The sequence below is a fragment of the Homo sapiens genome, chromosome 1, assembly GCF_000001405.40.
Source record: "Homo sapiens chromosome 1, GRCh38.p14 Primary Assembly".
In the NCBI taxonomy this organism is placed as follows: domain Eukaryota; kingdom Metazoa; phylum Chordata; class Mammalia; order Primates; family Hominidae; genus Homo; species Homo sapiens.
The window spans coordinates 232,819,711-232,842,265 of NC_000001.11; the positions used below are offsets into that span (position 1 = coordinate 232,819,711).

The 22,555-nt window shown below is 39.0% G+C and overlaps 1 long non-coding RNA gene and 1 pseudogene across 1 annotated transcript in view; one reads left to right on the plus strand and one right to left on the minus strand.

Moving 5' to 3' along the window:
- The window catches only part of LOC101927711 (uncharacterized), a 92,142-nt gene that overhangs the window by 4,382 nt on the left and 65,205 nt on the right, over nt 1-22,555 (plus strand). The window contains exon 3 of the long non-coding RNA XR_949278.3: nt 12,311-12,469. This is a non-coding gene — a long non-coding RNA (uncharacterized LOC101927711). The remainder of the gene's footprint in view (nt 1-12,310; nt 12,470-22,555) is intronic.
- Nucleotides 12,307-12,477, minus strand: RNU1-74P (RNA, U1 small nuclear 74, pseudogene; annotated as a pseudogene).

The following is a 22,555-nucleotide window of genomic DNA, read 5'->3' on the forward strand; positions in this document are numbered from 1 at the left end:
TCCAATGAACACATTTCTGTATTTATTTTACTGACCTCTCAGTTGCATTCAACATACTTACCTACTTACTATATCTTCTGCCACTTTCCATTCTTGCATTTCTTGACATCCCACTCTTCTAATTTTTCCACTACCTTTCTAGACTCTCACTCTACATCCAAATACTGGATTCTAGCTCTTACTCCTGCTTTTTTAAATCTCTCTCTAAACTGTCTCAGTTATCTCATCTCTCCTATTGCTTTAAAAACAACCTAGATGCTGATAACTTCCCTATTTTAATTTTCAATGCAAATCTCTCTTCCGAGTTGTAGACTCATATTTCTACCTGAAATATCAATTTATGTTTCACAGATGTCTCAAACTTAATGAGTACAAAATGTGACTTTTGATTCCCACTCCCCAAAATAGTTCCTCTACTAGCTATGGGTACTGAGCATTCTCCATTTGCACCCTCTATTCTCTCTGTACCTTTCTCCACCCTGCTTTGAGCCCAGGATGCTGCTACCTGTATAGGCTGCATCAGTGGTCAACTTTGGATTTCGGCTTCTATTTCGGGTTTGTTGGTGGTGAGGTCGGGCAGGAGATTGGAGGGCAGGAGGAGAGAAAAGTTGGGGTATTGAGTTCCCTGGCTCCCTTCCTGCCAGCCTTGAGTTGGTAGTGGCTGCATTTCTACATGAAAGTCACAACTTTCATGGAACTTTTTTTTGTTTTCTTTTTTTTAGCTCTGGCTACAACTACAACTCTCAGTTTCAGGAATTGACTACTCCACTTGACCTTTCAGACCTAGGAAGGATAATGGCTCCTTGCATTGGTAGTTCTGGAGTCCTTCACCATCCCTTGTTTGTTTCTCTTAACTCTGTCCACTGCTTTGTAAACAGCGCCTGCCATTAAACTTTCATCAGTGATCTTGTCTGAGTGTACCATCTGTTTCCTGCCAAGATCCTGACTGATGCATCTTCCCAGTTTTGTAGAGCCACCACCTCTCTGATGACTTAAGCCAGAAAACTGGCATCATTGTCCCTTCTATTCACCTTCCACATCCAATCCATCAACCCATCCTGGTGGCACTGCTTCCTACCCACACCTTGAAATAAGCCATGGCTAAGTGTTACAGCAGCCTCTTTACTGTTCTTCCCATTTTCAGCTTTGCCCCATTCAATCTATTCACTGCATGGCAGACAGAGTTATCTTTAAAAATATCTATCGGGCCGTAATTCTTCACTGCTTAAAACACATTAATGGCGTTCTTTTAGTATTTTAGTTCTTTTAGTATTTTAGTTCTTTTAGTTCTTTCTTTTAGTTCTTTTGGATTTTCAGTAAAATCCAAATTCTTGATCATAGGCTTACAAGCCCCCATATGGTCGGATCTCTACTTGCCTCTCCAAATGCACCTCATACCTCACTCCAACTTGCCCTCTGATGTTCCAGGCACACCGTCCCCGCTGTTGTTCCTTAAACATGGAGAACTCATTTACACCCCAGGGCCTTTGCTTGAGCTGTTCACCTTGCAGGGAACTCTCGATCTCCTACACAGAGTACTTATTACTCTGCTTTTCACATGCCCTTCTCATCTTTTAGGTTTCTATTTAAATGTCACCTCTTCAGAGAGGCATTATGAAAATCCTATCAAATCAAGTTTCTCAATCTCACCTTGCCCACACCGCATTATTTTCTATCATTGCATTTGTTAATTCTTTTATAGTTTATTACAACATATAATATCAATAATATGTTATAATATATAACATATCAATAGCTTTTTCTATTTGTTTATATTTTTTACTTTTTTATTTTGTGTCTTCTTCCCTAGACTATAAACTCTTTGATGATAGAGACTTATGACTGTTTTGTCCACCACTGTATATGCAGCTTTTAGTACAGCTTCTATTAGGCTGGCATATGCTGATGTTTTGCATTCAATAAATATTCGTTTAATGAATAGATACTTAGGCAATTTAAGTAAGAAAAAAAAGTAGTGTTTTTTAAAAAGGGTTCACAAAAAAATGGCAATGGAAACTGAAGACAGAATTTTCTTTACAACAACAACAACAATAACAACAAAGACTTACTCTCCCTATATATGTTTTTCCTCTTTTCCCTTGAGAAAATGATCAACATTTAGATGTTCTTAGCCTGTTAAGGATCCAGAAAAACCACTTAGCGGCAGAGAAAATTTCAATTACAAAATGGAGATTAAAATTTCAGTACTTGGGAATAATTATAAAGATGTTTTCCATTATATATGTTCAAGAAAGAAAAAAGAAAGGCATTCAAACTCAATGGAAAAGCATTTCAAATGATAATCAATTTATTATCTTTATTGCAATCACAGGAAAATTATTTCAAAACCTCACATCTTGGGTCTAAGGCCCAAAGACAAATCACTTAATGGCATGGTTAAAACTCAAGAATTCAAAAAAGCCTAGATTGAGCAGGAACATTTTAAAGCATCATGCTATTACCAAAACCATTAAATGAAGGGATAACATTTGGCTAATCATTGAAACACACAGTGATGTTTTCTCTTCTGAGATGCATTTGTTATTTGTACAACTAACTTACCACTTAGAATTCTGAGTCTTTAATTGCAATTATTTTTCATGTATCTGTAGTTTATTCCTTGCTTCTATGTGATAATTTAGAATTCTGAGTCTTTAATTGCAATTATTTTTCATGTATCTGTAGTTTATTCCCTGCTTCTATGTGATAATTTTGTGGCTCAGAATGCATTTTAAAAGTCTTTTTATTCTCTAAATAATCTTCTAGAGGACTGTAGTGAACATCTATTAATTTTATCACCTAGAATCCCTTCACTGTTCTTTAGCTATAACAGTTTACTGTAATTTTCCTCTGGGAAAGCTCCTCAATCACTTCTCCTGAGCATTGTGATTTGAAGAGCTTACTCCCACCTCTAGTTTAAAACAGCAAGCATATTTACTCTTCCAGGAAGGGTAATTGGATGGCACATGATTTCACATCAGGAAATGTTTTAAAACTGTTCTGGGAGGAACATTGTATTTTTCCCACTGGGTCTGAATGATGAAGTATGTTGGAACCCATCTTGGAAGCAATCACAAGAGAGATTCTTTCCGAGGAGGAGCCAACACCAAAAAATAAAAACACAGAAACAGTCCTGGTCACGTTGAGTCTTATGTCATACATCTGAAAAGAGTTAATTCTTGGACTCTTAAATTGCATTAGCAAGTAAACTCATTTTTTAAAAAAAGACCATTTTAGATTTATAGGTCTCTCACTTGCAACCAGAATAATTCCTGTACACAGTAGGCATTTGATTAATGTTGTTGATTAATTTGCACAAGTTTCCTCTTTATTTCCAGCCCTCTTACAAAAATATTGAAAGACCCTCTTGATTTGATTAAATGGAAAAACAAATCTGTGTCATGATGAATGTTCTTTAGTTTTTCTGGATCAAACATCTCCGTTTGAAACACCAAAATTTACTGATTAATATACTGCTATTTCCAGGCCATTCTTGATGTATGGGAAACTTTCCCTCTCATATTTACAAAAACAAATAAGGAATCTTTAATTTTTTTTTTTTTTTTGAGACAGTCTCACACTGTTGCCCAGGCTGGAGAGGAGTGGCACAATCTTGGCTCACTGCAACCTCTGCCTCCCGGGTTCAAGCAATTCTCATGCCTCAGATGCTCGAGTAGCTGGGACTACAAGCATCCACCACCACACCCAGCTAATTTTTTATATTTTAGTAGAGATGGAGTTTCACCATGTTGGCCAGGCTGGTTTTGAACTTCTGAGCTCAGGCAATCCGTCTGCCCGGGCCTCCCAAAGCACTAGGATTATAGGCGTGAGCCACCACGTCTGGCCCCAATTTTATACTCATTTAAAATTAGAACGCATAACGCCGCATATCTACAACTATCTGATCTTTGACAAACCTGAGAAAAACAAGCAATGGGGAAAGGATTCCCTATTTAATAAATGGTGCTGGGAAAACTGGCTAGCCATATGTAGAAAGCTGAAACTGGATCCCTTCCTTACACCTTATACAAAAATCAATTCAAGATGGATTAAAGATTTAAACGTTAGACCTAAAACCATAAAAACCCTAGAAGAAAACCTAGGCATTACCATTCAGGACATAGGCATGGGCAAGGACTTCATGTCCAAAACACCAAAAGCAATGGCAACAAAAGCCAAAATTGACAAATGGGATCTAATTAAACTAAAGAGCTTCTGCACAGCAAAAGAAACTACCATCAGAGTGAACAGGCAACCTACAAAATGGGAGAAAATTTTCGCAACCTACTCATCTGACAAAGGGCTAATATCCAGAATCTACAATGAACTCCAACAAATTTACAAGAAAAAAACAAACAACCCCATCAAAAAGTGGGCGAAGGACATGAACAGACACTTCTCAAAAGAAGACATTTATGCAGCCAAAAAACACATGAATAAATGCTCATCATCACTGGCCATCAGAGAAATGCAAATCAAAACCACAATGAGATACCATCTCACACCAGTTAGAATGGCGGTCATTAAAAAGTCAGGAAACAACAGGTGCTGGAGAGGATGTGGAGAAATAGGAACACTTTTACACTGTTGGTGGGACTGTAAACTAGTTCAACCATTGTGGAAGTCAGTGTGGCGATTCCTCAGGGATCTAGAACTAGAAATACCATTTGACCCAGCCATCCCATTACTGGATATATACCCAAAGGACTCTAAATCATGCTGCTATAAAGACACATGCACACATACGTTTATTGCGGCATTATTCACAATAGCAAAGACTTGGAAGCAACCCAAATGTCCAACAATGATAGACTGGATTAAGAAAATGTGACACATATACACCATGGAATACTATGCAGCCATAAAAAATGATGAGTTCGTGTCCTTTGTAGGGACATGGATGAAATTGGAAATCATCATTCTCAGTAAACTATCGCAAGAACAAAAAACCAAACACCGCATATTCTCACTCATAGGTGGGAATTGAACAATGAGATCACATGGACACAGGAAGGGGAATATCACACTCTGGGGACTGTGGTGGGGTGGGGGGAGGGGGGAGGGATAGCATTGGGAGATATACCTAATGCTAGATGACGAGTTAGTGGGTGCAGCGCACCAGCATGGCACATGTATACATATGTAACTAACCTGCACAATGTGCACAGGTACCCTAAAACTTAAAGTATAATAAAAAAAAAAAAAGAAAAGAAAAATAAAATAAAATAAAATAAAATAAAATAAAATAAAATTAGAACGCATTTCTTTATTCTGAAGAAAGCATTTCCTTGTTTTTGTCAACAACAAAGAAATGCATTCTCAGAATAAAAACCTGTAATCAAACAGGTCAATTTAGTTTAATGTTGTACCTAATAAAGGAGTTTAAAACCATTTAAAAAGTAGACATAATTTTCCAGAATTTAAGCATGACAAATACTTTTGTTTAAAACTAAATGATTCAGCCCAGTGCGGTGGCTCAGGCCTGTAATCCCAGCTCTTTGGGAGGGAGAAGCACTTGAACTCAGGTGGCAGAGGTTGCAGTGAGCCATGATGGCGCCACTGCACTCCAGCCTGGGTGACAGAGTGAGACCCTGTCTCAATCAATCAATTAATCAATCAATAGAATTAAGTTATTCAGATGTATAAACAGAAAATGGAAATCACTTATAATCTCATTCCTAGAAATAATAGCTGATATTTCAAAGCATATTGTTCTAAATACTTTCTATTCATAGTTTTTTTGTTAAATGTCAAAAAATAGAAATATCCTATTATTCTAATCATCATTTAATAACAGTGACAATAGTGTGGCAGTCTTTCCATGTCAGCATAAATAAATATCATTTTGAATGAGTGCTCAGTACTCCGTTGCATGGATATACCATAATATTTTTTAAAAACACATCGCTTGTTGAAGAACATTCACATTGATTCTCTAACATTAGTGTTATAAATGAGGTTAATAAATCATCACATATTTATATAATTTTTTTTAGAATACTATCCAAGAAGAGTAATAGCTGGCACATTTGAAAATTTAATACATATTGCCAAATTGTCTTCTAAAAAAGTTGCACCTTCCAGCTTTCCATATAATTACAAACTCTGTGAATGAACATCCTTGTTTATTTTCATCCATCTATTAGACAATAAATGGTCCGACTTTGCTGGTTTAGTTTTAATTTCTTTGACAATTAATGAGTGAATCTTTTTTATGAGTGAACTGGAAAAACACCCAAAAACTTAAGGCAATGATTCATTACTCAAGTCAGCCAAGTGGTTCTGACTTGGTCTGTGTTGCCTGGGCTCACTAGTGAGTCTTCGGCTTGCTGCAGGCAGGCCAGATACTTTTGCTTCCAGAACTGGCTGTGAGCAAGCTGGGGCACCTTGGTTTTCTTCCACATGGCTCCCAGCATCATCAGAAAAAGTCCAAGCTGGTTTAATGGTAGTGGCATGGTTCCAGGAGAATGAACAGAATGTGCAAAGCCTCTTGATACTAGACTTGGAACTGACACAATATCCCATGCGCTTCATTCTGCTTGTCAAAGTAAGTCACAAGGCTAGTTGAGATACAATGGGTGGGGAAAAACACACGCACACAAAACAAAAAACTACACCTCTGTTGCCAGGAGCTACAAACTCACACTGCAAAAGGGCATAGATGCAGGGAGAAAATAATTTGAGCTGTGTTTTCAAACCATTTACCACCATATGTTTTCTTTAGATCAGTAAGTAGACCAAAAGTCTCATTAAGCACCCTTTCTTTCTAAAAAAAATTATTTCCACAGGTTATTGGACAACAGGTGGTGCTTGGTTACATGAATAAGTTCTACGGTGGTGATTTGTGAGATTTTGGCACACCTATCACCCAAGCAGTATACACTGCACCCAATTTGTGATCTTTTATCCCTCACCTCCTTCCAACCCTTTCCCCCTGAGTCTCCAAAATCCATTGTGTCTTTCTTATGCCTTTGCATCCTCATAGCTTAGCCTACACACATGAGTGAGAACATATGATGTTTGTTTTTCCATTCTTGAGTTACTTCACTTAGAATAATAGCCTCCAAACTCATCCAGGTCACTGTGAATGCCATTAACTCATTCCTTTTTATGGCTGAGTAGTATTCCATCGTGTGTGTGTGTGTATGTGTGTGTGTATGTGTATCTATATATATCTCACAGTTTCTTTATCCATTCATTGATTGATGGGATGGGCATTTTAGTTGGTTCCACGGTTTTGCAATTGCAAATTGTGCTGCTATAAACATGCATGCACAAGTATCTTTTTCATATAGTGACTTCTTTTCCTCTTGGTAGATACCCAGCAGTGAGATTGCTGGATCAAATGGTAGATCTACTTTTAGTTCTTTAAGGAATCTCCACACTGTTTTCCATAGTGATTGTACTAGTTTACATTCCCACCAACAGTGTAGAAGTGTTCCCTGTTCACTGCATCCATGCCAACATCTATTATTTATTTATTTATTTTTTTGTTTTGTTTTGTTTTTGAGACAGAGTCTTGCTCTGTTGCCCAGGCTGGAGTGCAGTGGCACAATCTCGGCTCACTGCAACCTCCGCGTCCCAGGTTCAAGCAATTCTCCTTCCTCAGTCTCCTGAGTAGCTGGAATTACAGGCGTGCACCACCATGCCTGCCTAATTTTTGTATTTTTTAGTAGAGACAGGAAAGAGTTTCACCATATTGGTCAGGCTAGTCTCAAATTCCTGACCTCAGGTGATCCACCCACCTCGGCTTCCCAAAGTGCTGGGATTACAGGTGTGGGCCACCATGCCAGGCCTATTTTTTGATTTTTTGGTTATGGCCATTCTTCCAGGAGTAAGGTGGTATCGCATCGTGGTTTTGATTTGCATTTCCCTGATTATTAGTGATGTCGAGCATTTTTTCATATGTTTGTTGGCCATTTGTATATCCTCTTCTGAGAAATGTCTATTCATGTCCTTAGCCCACTTTTTGATGGGACTGTTTGGTTTTTTCTTGCTAATTTGTTTGAGTTCATTGTAGATTCTGGGTATTAGTCCTTTGTCAGGTGTATGGATTGTGAAGATTTTCTCCCACTCTGTGGGTTGTCTGTTTACTCTGCTGACTGTTCCTTTTGCTGTGCAAATGCTCTTTGGTTTAATTAAGTCTAAACTATTTATCTTTGTTTTTACTGCATTTGCTTAAATGGGTTCTTGGTCATGAAATCCTTGCCTAAGCCAATGTCTAGAAGAGTTTTTCCTATGTTGTCTCTAGAAGTTTTATAGTTTCAGGTCTTAGATTTAAATTCCTGATCCATCTTGAGTTGATTTTTGTATAACCTAAGAGATGTGGATCCAGTTTCATTCTTCCACATGTGACTTGCCATTTTTCCCAGCATCATTTGTTGAATAGGGTGTCTTTCCCCTACTTTACGTTTTTGTTTACTTTGTTGAAGATCAGTTGGCTGTAAGTATTAGGGTTTATTTCTTGGTTCTCTATTCTGTTCCATTGGTCTATGTGCCTATTTTTATGCCAGTATGATACTGTTTTGGTGACTATGGCCTTATAGTATACTTTGAAATCAGGTAATGTGATGTCTCCAGATTTGTTCTTTTTGCTTAATCTTGCTTTGGCTGTGCGGGCTCTTTTTTGGTTCCATATGAATTTTAGGATTTTTTTTTTCTAATTCTGTGAAGAATGATAGTGATATTTGGAGGGGAATTGCATTGAATTGTAGATTGCTTTTGGCAGTATGGTCCGTTTCACAATATTGATTCTACCTATCCACGAGCATGAGCTTGGGGTGTGTTTCCATTTGTTTGTGTTGTCTATGATTTCTTTCAGCAGTGTTTTGTAGTTTTCCTTAAAGATGCCCACTGTCACCACTCCTCTTCAACATAGTACTAGAAGTCCTAGCCAGAGCAATCAGACAAGAGAAAGAAAAAAAGGGCATCCAAATTGGTAAAGAGGAAGTCAAACTGTTGCTGTTTGCCGATGATATGATTGTTTAGCTAGAAAACCCTAAAGGCTCCTTCAGAAAGCTCCTGGAACTGATAAAATAATTCTGCAAAGTTTCTGGATACAAAATCAATGTACACAAATCAGTAGCTCTTCTATACACCAACAGCGACCAAGCTGAGAATGAAATCAACAACTCAGGCCGGGCATTGTCTCTCATGCCTGTAATCTCAGCACTTTGGGAGGCTGAGGTGAGCAGATCACCTGAGGTCAGGAGTTTGAGACCAGTCTGGCCAACACGGTGAAACCCTGTCTCTACTAAAAATACAAAAATTAGCGGGGCTGTGATGGCGTGCCTGTAATCGCAGCTACTTGGGAGGCTGAGGCAGGAGAATCACTTGAACCCGGGAGGCAGAGGTTGCAGTGAGCTGAGATCGTGCCACTGCACTCCAGCCTGGGTAACAGAGCGAGGCTCCATCTCAAAACAACAACAACAACAAAACAACAAAAAAAGCCCACAAAAATCAGTAACTCAACCCCTTTTACAATAGCTGCAAAAAAAAAAAAAAAAAAGGAATATACCTAATCATTAAGCACTTTGGAAACAAATTAATATTTTGGAAAGTATTCAGATTTTTTTCCTCTATGTGAAAGGTAAATCATGATAAATTTATTTCTTCTTTTGTCTCTTGGGTCAAGAAAAGCACTAATTTAATGTCTTCTATTAGCTGTATCTTTTTTTCTGTCACCCCAGTTTTCATTTCAGGTTAATTGAAGTGTGGGTTTTCCAAATTGGTTTTTGCTTAGGCTCACTAAAGTTGATCCATTAGCTCTGAATTTCTTTCTATACATACTTCGAAAGCTAGAGTTATTGAAAGGAGTAATTTTTTCCATTTAAATGTACTTTGCTTATTATTTCCCAGGTTCTGATAGCAATATACTGCTCAGTGGGAAAAGATTTCTCCTGTGATTGACTGTTCCTAGCACTGTGTTTAGGAAATTTCTTTCAAATTTTTCTCTTAATATTTTTCTAGTGCTGAGATCCTGTGGTTTGAAGGACTTTTATTTCAGAGACATAGGCCATGCTTAGTGGAGACTCATTCACAATGGAAACAAAGCTTAGATGCTGATTATCCAAATACCCCATTTTGAATATGAGACTTCTTACTGAAAGGACAATTTGGAGAGATATATGGTCAAATGACTAGGCTAAATTTATCTATATTCATTTCCTAAACAATGTAGGTAAATTGCACATTTTAAAATATTCCAGCATCTCAAAACATGGCACCTACCATCAATATTTCTAATAATCATTCACTTGTTCAGCACATATACAGCACTTAACCACATGAATGCTTTGTAAAAGTCTAGGGGAACATGAGAAATAAGTCAGACACAGTCCCTGTTGTCCCCGTTTACAATCTACTGTGAGACACAGATAATTAAGAAGGTGATTATAATCATGTGGGAAAAGCAGTTCTTACTGTAGATTCAGACAAGAGATTCTAGATTTTCAAGGGATCTACATCTCAAACCCAAAGAAGTAAATCCCTCAAAGCATAATGGGGCAGGGCAAGATGGCTCAAGCCTGTTATCCCAGCACTTTGGGAAGCCGAGGCAGGTGGATCACCTGAGGTCAGGAGTTCGAGGCCAGCCTGGTCAACATGGTGACCAGGTCTCTACTAAAAATACAAAAATTAGCCGGGCCTGGTGGTACACACCTGCAATTCCAGCTACTTAGGAGACTGAGGCAGGAGAATTGCTTGAACCTGGGTGGTAGAGGTTGCAGTGAGCCGAGATTGCACCACTGCACTCCAGCCTGGGCGACAGAGCAAGACTCCGTCTCAAAAAAAAGAAAAGCAAAGAGAAAATAAATTGACCTCAGGTAAGGAGAGATGATATGCAAAAGGATTATTGCAACAAGGGTGGGGAGACTCTTGCTCTAGGAAAGGAAACTGCAGCATTAGGGAAGGAGACTATAGCAATGCAGAGAGTGCCATAACCATGGGATCAGTGTGCATCTCTGAGGTCAGCAGAAAAAGGTCTTTCTTTCATAAGGAGTAGAGAAGCCTACCAAGAAGCATGTGGGGGAGTGGGATGAGGCAGTGGCATGATCAAACAGTGGCTCAGTCTCTGTTTGTGGCCATTGCATTCTCTGGAGCAGGTCTTATAGAGAGGCTGTTCTGCATTCCTACATGCAAGAAAGGACCAAAGTCCAGGGGCCTGGGGGAAGGTGAGGAGCCTGAGCAGAGTTTGGTCAAGTCACATTGATGGCATTTTGTCCACACTGGCCAGTGGGGACCAATGGCTAATCATTCATGAGACACAGAATGGGAATTGGAAGGTCCGTGTCTGACCTTGTCATAGGTAAACAAGGAGGTCATCGGTGGGTTTTATCTAAATCTTATGGGGAAGGGGAATTCCTTGCAAGAAGTCATGTTTTGGAACACTGAAGGTGTGTGTTGGGAAGGGCTAGTTTTGTAATCTCCCCTGTTTTCAAGAGGCACAGGACTTGGGGAAAGTTCAGTACCACCAGTGCCTCTGACACAAAGTCACCTATAACCTTGAACACCAGGTGTTAGGATGAATGGAGTCCATGGTAAGTGCCATGACAAAAAGCCATCAGCCAGTAGTGTTGACATTACCTGGAGTCTTGCTAAAAATGCAGATTCTCAGACCTGTTGAATCAGAATCTTCATTTACAGTTGAGTCCCGGGATGATCCATCCACAGGTGAAAGTTTTGAAGCACAGCTCTGGGGAAGTCAGGAAAGCATCACTAGAAGAAATGATCCCCTAGTTAACTAATTCTCTTTCTCTGGTAATGCTCTGATTTGAATGTTCACACATTCATTCATTTATAAAAACTAATTGTTTTTCCAAGAAAGTTGTATTAGTATCTACATGTTTTAGTTATATATTGTTCTGTAAACTACCCCTGAATTTAGTGGCTTAAAACAACAACAAGCATTTATTATTCTCACAGTTTCTGTGGGTCAAGAATTTAGGAACAGCTTAGTTGGGTGGTTTGCAGTCAAGATATCAGCCATGGCTGAAATCAACTGAAGACCTGGCTGCAACTGGAGGACTCAAGGTGGTCCATTCCCATAGCTGGCAAGTTGGTTCTTCTCCATGCTACGCTGTCTATCCTGGGGCTTCTCCATTGGGCTGCTTGGGTGTTCTCACAACATGGCAACTAGCCTACCCCAGAGAAAGAGCCAGAGAAAAGCTGTCCTTTTTATGACATAGCCTTGGATGTCACATGGAATCACTTCCAAAACAATGTATTCATTTGAAGCAAGTTATTAAGTCCAGCCCACTTTGGGAGGATGGAGAGAATTACGCTCCAACTTTTTTTTTTTTTTTTAAACAAGGGAAAGCATGAACGCAGTCTCCCACTGCCACACATTATGCAATTGAGTTTCCTACATTTGAGGAAATTGCAGTGGTCAGCACATTTGGAGTGCAATGGATGAGCCTTGCCCTGGGAAAACCATCTTTGTGATCATGGATCATGGTATCTCCCCTCCCAGGTAAGTATAGGCTCCAACTTTTAAAGGAAAGAATATCACTGGAGTTCCAGACATTACACAGCATTGTACAGGTGGGCTTTGTAAAAGTCAATGATGTTTATCAATTTAATTTATTTGACATTTTGCTGCTGAAGACAGATAACTGATTCTGTTTTTCAGTCTCCAAAACTTACAAGAACATGCTTCATGCTATTTTAATAAGACAGAACATTTCAATTATCAGAATACTTTTGGAGAAAACTGTAGTTGTTTGTGAAACTGTAATTCAAAGGTGGTAAGATAGAACTTTCGTAGGTGACAGGAGGATGACTTTGCAGTTTGCTTTGTGGCATGTGGAGGTGGGAGGGACAAGAAAGAAACATAAAGAGTGGAGGGTAGAAGCCAAGAGATAGTGGAAAATCACGTGTTCTGTCCTGGTACTCCTCGCTGCTCTCCAGATTTTTAGTAAAGTTGTTGAGCTCATGTACAAGGCGAGTGGTGCTTTTTTTCAGACTGTGGTGGGGCTAGGCTGTATATCTGGACTGAGTCGAACCAAACTAAGAAACACATGCAGATATGGAAGACCAACAGAGAGAAGCAAGAGGAAGTAAAGTCAGAGGAGTTTGCAAAATGGGGGTGAGAGGTAAGGTTGACCATGGTGGGTGGTGAAGGAAGCCTCTCAAAGGCCACGGAATAGACGACTGCAGTCATTTTTAGCTAGGTCTCCAAGGGACAGAGGGACCTTAGTTGACATGTGGATGGCACTTGATTTCTGGCAATTCTTCTCTTTTGCTGAGTAAACAGCATGATCAGAATATTATTTACTGAATTTCAGCTTTTGATGCTATTTTAAAATAACATTAGGAAGTAACTATGAAAAATATCTCAAGTTAGAAGAAAATTTTTATTCATTTATTTAGGTTTGGAGTGGCAAGGCGTAGAGCTTGAAATGTAATTTCACTTACCAGCAACATGTTTACATTGCTGCCTTAATGCTCCCTCTGGAATCAGAATAATCTCCAGCATTTAGGGACCTCCTAGTTTATAAATGCTGTGGTCCTTTTTTTTCTGTTTCAGAAGCACACTCTTTTAATCTTATAAAATCCTGGCCAGGAATGAATGAATTATCTAAAACAAACGGTCAATGTGACCTTTTATCTTGCTTAATAGTTTGAAAATCTGTTTTGCAAAGCAAAATGACTTTCCTCAAAAAGCTTTTCCTGTATTTGGGGTTATAAACACATATTTTTTGAGAAGACAGTACATTTCCCTGAATTTCGTCTTCTAAAGGCTTAAATAATTTTCATAGTAAAACAAAATTGCCTCAAGTGCTATTACCTCCCTCTCCTAGACACCCATTAATGTAAAATAAAACTAATCTATAATAAATGCTTGTTCTAAGAACGCTTGGCAGAAGCCAGGTAAAATTTAACATTCTGTACAGCATTTGGTGACGAAGGACACACTATTATTGTTTTGAAGCATTGCAGAAATTCTTTTTAAGCAAATCTTAGCTTTTAAAATTGAAGCTTAGAATTTTGCTCAGCCCATTTTGTTTCCTAGGTCCCAGATATTGGGCATCTGCAAACTCAAAATTGATAAAGTTAGGCATACAGAGACAGAATATTTCTAGTTTATAAATAAAAGCAAGTTTTGCTCAACCCAATAAGAGTACTCCTAAAAAAATTAGTAAAGGAAATAAATAAAAATGTATAATAAATTATTCAATAAAACCAAATCTAATGCATCCAAAGAGTTCACAGTCTAAATTCCTGGAGGGAAGAGATGGGTGGGTGGGCTTTAAATCTCAAATGATTTTATTTCTTCCAATCCCTGTATTCATCTGTGCTTTGCCAAATTCTGCTTTCATGCTTCTTAATGACCTTTCAGCCCCATTTTATAAATGGTCCAGCTGAACATTTTGATCTTATCACCAACTTACTGCTCCAACCCAGAATGGAAGCCAATCTCTCCCTTTTTCTGGCACCAGTAGTCTCTGTAGGTAACTTTTCTAGAATAGAGGTCAGAAAACGTTTTTTGTGAAGGAACGGTTAGTAAACATTTTCAGCTTTGTGAGCCATATGGTCTCTGTTTTGACTATTCAGCTTTGAAGTTGTAGTGAGACAGCAGCCACAGACAATATGAAAATGAATGGGCATGGCTGTGTTCCAATAAAACTCTGCACTTGGTCTTAGCCAAAAGGCCGAGAAGTGATTCCAATAAAACTTTATTTACAAAAATAGATGGTGGGCTGGATTTGGCCCACAGGCTGATGTGAAAGTTGTCAGAATCAAAATAGAGTCACTTGTGACAACTGGAACTGGGAAAGGCCATAATGGGGGATTTCTCAAGCTTGTATGCCTGATAATAAGAACTATCACAAACAAACTCTGCAAAAAAGCACAACCTTGCACAAAGGCCACCAAAACCTTACAGAGAAAATACTTCTGCAAGGACATCTGTCCAGCAACTGCTTGTCCAACCTTGGACTGACACCACCCTTGTTATTGATCCTTACAGCCAAGGATAATTGATTCAAAACAACTTATGTAATTCTTTTCATTTTGCCTTCAAAAACTGTCCCTTGCCTCAACCTTCCTGATGATCTGCATAGTTTACTCTGGCACGTGTATTTCCATTGCAAAGCCATTCCCAAGTAAATATCATTTTCTTTTAGAGTCTCCTTCTCAGTCTGTTATGAAGGTTTGACACTGCATGTCCTACAGCATGTCCCCATTTGGTTTGACCTAGGAGCTGGAGGAACTATTCCATGGTGAGGAGAGAGAGAAAGCCCAGCTGTCTTCACGAAGCCATGGATGTTTCTCCTCTCTCTCCCATCATCCTCCTCCTCATCCCACTCTGAGTTTTCTGCTCATGTTGATTGTGGAGGAGCATGGTAGAATGGAGGTTCAGTGAGGGGAGCAGAATTGATTGGAATATCTCTCAGAGAGCCCTCCTGTAGATGACACCAGCTCCACTGTTTGCAATTCTTTGGGAGTGCAGGGAACTGGAGGCTCCTTTCTGTCAGTTTTAGACCCAAGCCTTGAGCATAAAAGAGCCCTGCTCTACCTTCTGTGACATTCTTTACCACCGGGTTTTATTCCGTGGATCAGTGATTGTAAGGATGGATACAGTTCAGGAATATAGAAATACAGTAGTAGTTCATCAGTGACAGCTGTTCGTTGACATTGTCCCAATCTCCGTCTGTCACATTCTTGACAAAATTCCAGGACTTTCTACACATTCTAGTGTTGCCTAAAATACGAAGTGTTTAAAAATGTTGTTCATGTTTCTTTTGCTTTACTGAGATAGAGGTTTTTTTTTTTTTTGTCGTTGTTGTTGTTCTTTTGTTTGTTTGTTTAATTTTTGTATGTTTTCAGTTAACTTTAGCTTTCCAGGCTGGAGTGCAGTGGCACAATCATAGCTCACTGCAGCTTTGACCTCCCAGGCTCAAAAGATCCTCCTGTCTCAGCCTCCCTAGTAGCTGGGACTATGCCACCATGCCTGGCTAAGATTTTTGAGATGAGGTCTCACTGTGTTGCCCAAGCTGGTCTCAAACTCCTGGGCTCAAGCAATCCTCCCATCTGTGAAAGCTCTGAGATTACAAGTGTGAGCCACCACACCCAGCTGGCTTGACATTTTTGAGTCTTCTCTTCTATCCCTTCTGACCCTTAATGAGCATTCTTCTCTTCCTTAATCTGTTTTATTTCAAATACTTTATTTTTATGGCCTCCATAATAACACCTATTAGACTACTTTTGTGATTGTACTTTCTCTAAAGGCATATTTTCCCATCAGCCTAAGAATAACTTCCTTTAGAAATGATTCTTTCCCTTCTCCTGTCTCACTTGGATGTATCCCATGGCCTCACCTGCTGACCCTGGATGCTCTGCTCTCCTCCTTGACTTAAATGAATTTTCAGCTCCTGCTATAAGCCACACTGTTCCACATCCTGGAGCTACAAAGTTGTAGCTTCTGCCTTCAAGGAGCTCACAGTGCAGAGAAGTGAGAAGACAAACATAAAAATAAGCCAGTGACACCAGGGCAATTCACTCTCTTTGGTGGACTGTAGACACTCATGTCTGTAAACTGGGCATACTCTCAGTTGTATGGGAAAGGTTTGGGCTGTGGTACATTATTGCACTCCAAGACAAGGACAGAGGAGTGGCACCTCTTAAACATGGAATACAGTTTAAGCCAAGGTACTGTTAACTTGTGGCTCATGGTTCAAACCATTCATACCATGGTCATGAAATGTACTCACCCTCCCACCCCACCAAAAGGGCAAAGCTCTCTTGCTATGGGGCTATGCTGCCCCTGTTGGGCCCACTGCAATGAAGAATTTAAATGGAAAATGATCAGGGTCATGTTGTTCCTAACAGATTCCAGATTCTTCTGATTACCCTATACTAGATCTTATGGGGGAAAAACCCAAAGATCCTGCCTTCAAATTGCATATGGTCTGTTTAGTAGAAAGGATAGTGAGGAGACACAGAGAAGAAACAACCAAATAATTTCTATAGAACAACATATCAGTCAGCACAAATGAGTCTAGCAGAGTGCCCACTGAGAGAACACAGAAGATGAGAGAATAAACAAAGATGGTCGTGGTTGCCTTCCAAAGGAGGAGAGTTTTGAGAATTTAATTTGTTTCCAATCTTTGCTATTATAAGATATATATTATGATGAACCTGTTGATTCATAAATCTCTTACTATATTTTGGATAATTTTCTCAGGACAAATGCTCCCAAATAGAATTACTAAGTTAAACAGATACCAAGGAAATAAACATTTTTAAAGAGATTTTGATATATTGCCAGATAGATTCCAATTGCTGTCTAGAAAGATTATATAAATGTATGCTCCTCACCCCCCAGCAGTGTATAAGCGTATCCATCTCACAAAAACTTGGAAGCATCAATAATTACGATTTTTTAAAATCTCTAATAAAGCAAGTGAAAATATCTAATTTTTTTCTATGCATTTCCTTTGTACTAGTGATGTTGAACATTTTATCGTATGTTTATGAGTCATTGTTGTATCCTCTTTTACCAGCTAGCTGTCTTTTTTGTCTTTTGCTCCATGGATCCTCTGTAGATGAGTCATATAATAGCAGTAGAACAGCATCCAAATCAATATGCTAGGTTATTTTGTAACTTTAGACTGATAAGGCATTCAGAGTTGAAAGGTGTGGTTCTTAATACAGCTCAAGGAAGTTATGTCCAGATAAACACTCTCAGGTCAGGAGACAATTCCGTAAGGAGTATGTTAGAGTTCTACTAGAAACACAGCGAGGGTTACAAGTATCAGCTGCTGCCTGAGGTATGTATATATGTTATCCCCAATTTTGACCAAAACATTTGATGAATAAAGGGGAACAGCAATGAGATACCATCTCACATCAGTTAGAATGGCTATTATTAAAAAGTAAAAAAATAACATGTTGCACGGTTGCAGAGAAAAGGGACTGCTTATACACTGTTGGTGGGAATGAAAATTAGTTCAGTGCCCTGTGGAAAAGAGCTTGGAGATTTCTTAAAGAACTAAACACAGAATTACCATTCCACCCAGCAATTCAACGTTACTAGGTATAGCCCCAAAGGAAAATAAATTGTTCTATCAAAATGATAACTGCACTTGTTGGCCGGGCTAGGTGGCTTATGCCTGTAATCCCAGCACTTTGGGAGGCCGAGGCAGGCGGATCATGAGGTCAGGAGTTCGAGACCAGCCTGGCCAAGATGGTGAAACCCTGTTTCTATTAAAAAATACAAAAATTAGCTGGGCGCAGTGGCACATGCCTGTAGCCCCAGCTACTCGAGAGGCTGAGGCAGAAGAATTGCTTGAACCCGGGAGGTGAAGGTTGCAGTGAGCCAAGATAGCGCCACTGCACTCCAGCCTGGGCAACAGAGTGAGACTCTGTCTCACAAAAAAAAAAAAAGATACTTCCACTTGTATGTTCACTGCAGCACTACTCACAATGCAAAGAAATGGACTCAACCTAGATGCCCATCAATGGTGTATTGAATAAAGAAAATGTGGTACATATGCAATATGGAATACAATGCAGCCATAACAAAGAATGAAATCATATTATTTGCAGCAACATGGATGCAGCTGGAGGCCATAATCCTAGGTGAATTACAGAGAAAACGGAAAACCAAATACTCCAACACGTTCTCACTTATAAGTGGGAGCTGAACATCGGGTACACACAGACACAAAGATGGGAACAATAAACACTGAGGATTCCAAAAGAGTGGAAGGAGGTGGGGGCAAGGGTTGAATCCTACCTATTAGGTACTGTGTTCACTTGGACACTAGAAACCCAAACCTCAGCATCACATAATATACCCATGTAACAAGCCTGCACATGTACTCCCTTAATCTAAATTTTAAAAAGTAAAAAAAAAAAAAAAAAAAAAAGACTAGTAGAATCAACAAAGTGCATTCTAGTATAAAATGATACAGGTCTGTATGCAATTGTGGTTGAGCTCATCTTGCAATCTCAATTTGGAGGAAAAAAAGGAAGAATTTGGAATTGATTTCTTAGCCTCATAACATATTAAAACTGGGTACATTTTTACAAACTTAGCTTCCTGCCAAATCTTGAAATTAGCCTAGATTAACAATTAAGTTAGTTTTCTAGATATTTAGATTTTCCCATTGAAGATATACAGATGTGAAAAATATTTATTTTTTATTTTGTAGAACAAAAGAAGAAAAATGTGTTTGGATTACCAGATCCCTGACCCTCTGTGTTTGCTGTTGTTGATTATTAAGGCATTTTCATATAGGCTTAGATTATTTAAATATCACAGCTATATGCATAAGTATCAGTCATAGTTCTGCTTTTTTCTTATTAATAATTTTTAATTAAAAGAAATATAGAATTTAGCATGAAAAAACAAAAGGATGTAGAGTCTAGGCAGAAAATATCTCTAAGGGTCATGAAATGCGACATTGTAGAAACAAATCTAACACACACAAAAATGAGTATGTGGAAATGAGTTTTAGAATATGGCATATGATTCAGGTTCTTCTTCTGACTTTGTCTGATGGGGTGACATCAAAAGGTGATCGTTTTAATATTTCGTCATCTCTGCATTTATTTTGTTTTGTATATTTTAACAAGTGCTTTCAGGCTGCAGGTATCTGTTGGAAATATTTAGCTCTCTTCCAGCTAAATGAATAAATAATGATGCTATGCCCTTTGCATTCAAATGAAAGGTTATAAACCACTCTCAGTAGGGTCTGGCTTTGAGTCATTTGGCCAAGGAAAATGACAGGTTCTAATATGGAACACTTCATACTGTCTTTGAAAAACCCATGAATGTCAAGAAAGTGGCTCAGGATTTACTGTGGAGGAGGGCTGTGTGTGATGCAGAAAAGGCCGTGAGAAAGGACAAAGAGATTAGGGCTCATGGTCATCTGTATTGGCTCCATTTCCGATGTGTTCTAATATTGGAATCCTGTGCAAAGTTTGTTTGAAAATAGATATATGATTTTGCAAAAAAAAAATTGGGGGGCTGGGTGCAGTGGCTCATGCCTGTAATCCCAGCACTTTGGAGGCCAAGGCAAGCAGATCACCAGAGATCAGGTGCTGAGAACAGGCCCTCCAAATCTGGCCATAAACAGGCCCCAAAACTGGCCATAAACAAAATTTCTGCAGCACTGTGACATGCTCATGATGGCTATGATGCCCACGCTGAAGATTGTTGTTGGTTTACTGGAATGAGATCAAGGAACACCTGGCCCACCCTGGGTGGAAAACCACTTAAGGTGTTCCTGAACCACAAACAATAACATGAGCGATCTGTGCCTTAAGGACATGCTCCTGCTGCAGATAACTAGCCAGAGGCCATCCCTTTGTTTCCCATTTTAGTTAATCTGTAATCTATAGAAACAATGCTTATCACTGGTTTGCTGTCAGTATATATGTGGGTAAAACTCTGCTCATGGCTCTCAGCTCTGAAGGCTGTCAGCCCCCTGAATCCCACTCTGCACTCTATATTTCTCTCTGTGTGTGTTTAATTCCTCTAGTGCTGCTGGGTTAGGGTCTCCATGACCAAGCTGGTCTTGGCAATCAGGAGTTCCAGGACAGCCTGTCCAACATGGTGAAACCCCATATCTACTAAAAATACAAAAAAAAAAAAAATTAGCTGGGCATGGTGGTGTGTGCCTGTAATCCTAGCTACTTGGGAGGCTGAGGCAAGAGAATCGCTTGAACCCAGGAGGTGGAGGTTGCAGTGAGCCAAGATCCTGCCATTGCACTCCATCCTGGGTGACAGAGTAAGACTCCATCTCAAAAAAAAAAAAAATTTTCTTTTTCAAACTACACCTCTTATTCCATAATCTTCATTCCACTGTACAGACATACCATCGTTTATCCAGTCTCCTGTTTATGTACATTTGGGCTGCTTCCAACTTTTCAGTATTATAAATATATCTTCTTTGAACTTTGTTGTAGAAGTCATGTTGTGGACATATTTTTTCTTTTCTGTTAAGTCAGACCCAATGGGTCAAAAGGGGAGTCTATGTTTAAGTTTATAAGACATTGTCAAAATATTTTCCAAATTGATTGTACCATTTTAGAGTCTCATTTGCAATGCATTAGAGTTCCAGTTGCTCCATTCTTACAGTGTTTGGTGTTTTGTGGTAGCTCATTGGCAGGTTTTGATTTGCATTTCCCTGAGGCTTAATGATGTTAATTATATTTTCATGAGTTTATTGTCTCTGTGTTTATCTTCTTTTGTGGAGTATGAAGTCTGCTCAAGTCCTATGCCCCTATTTTTATGGGTTGTATTTTTACTTATTGTGTGATAGGAATTCTTTATGTATTCTATATATGGGCCCTTTGGCAGATAAATGTGTTAATAATTTCCCCACTCTGGCTTGTCTTTCATTTTCTCAGTGGCATCTTTTACCATTAAACTTATCATTTCTAGCTCTTTCTCTGTAAGAAGTTTAAAAAGTTTTGATAAGGTTGTGTTTATCAAACTTTTGTCTTCTTTTATGAATAGTGCTTTTGCAGTTTAGTTCAGAAATATTTGAATAGTAGTGATGAGAGAGGACATCATTGCCTTGTCCTTGATTATGCCTTGTTCCTTGCTATTGGTTGTTAGTCATGAACAGCAGACATTTGCTGTTAGAAATGAAATTAGTTGTAGGTTTTTCATAGATGTCCTTTGTTAAGTTTAGGAAGTTCCCTTCTATAGTTTCCTAAGGATTTTTCCCCTGGGTGTTAAATTTTTACAATATGTTTACTGTATCTATTGAGATAATCACATGTTTTCCTCTTATTCTGGGATTCTGTTATTATTTACCATACTATTATATTAATTGCTTTTATAATTACATTGAGTAACTTTATAACATTAAAAACCTTGCATTTCTGGGATAAAACTCAAGGTTGTAGAACATATTACCATTTTCATTTTGTATTAGTCCGTTCTCACATTGCTATAAGAAAATAACTGAGACTGGGTAATTTATAAAGAAAAGAGGTCTAATTGGCTCAAGGTTCTACAGGCTGTACAGGAAGCATGATGCTGGCATCTGCTCAGCTTCTGGGGAGCCTCAGGAAACTTACATTTCTGGCGGAAGGTGAAGCGGGAGTAGGCATTGCTTACATGGGAGGAGCAGGAGCAAAGGGGCGGGGGGAAGTGCTACACACTTTTAGACAACCAGATCTTTTGATAAGTCACACTCACTATCACAAGAATGGCACCGAGGGGATGGTGTTAAACCATTCATGAAGAACAACCAAGAACAACCCCCATGATCCAATCACCTCCCACCAGGCCCCACCTCCAACGTGAGATTCAGACATGCCCCACTGTTAAAAACCCCCACGGATGTGCAGTTGGTTTCAGGATGAGTGTAAACTCTTTAGCATGTATTAAATCCTTCACAGATATTCAAGGTCGTTTCTGATCATTACTAGTTATGTACCATAGGTTCCAGCCTCCCTGTCTTTTCACTATTCTCTGGACACCCATCATCCTTCAAGCCTCTCTACATTTGCACATGTTGCTACTTTGTTTAAAATAGTCTTCCTTCTCTTTCTATCTGAAAAATTTCTGCTTATCCCTGTCAGAACCAAAGCT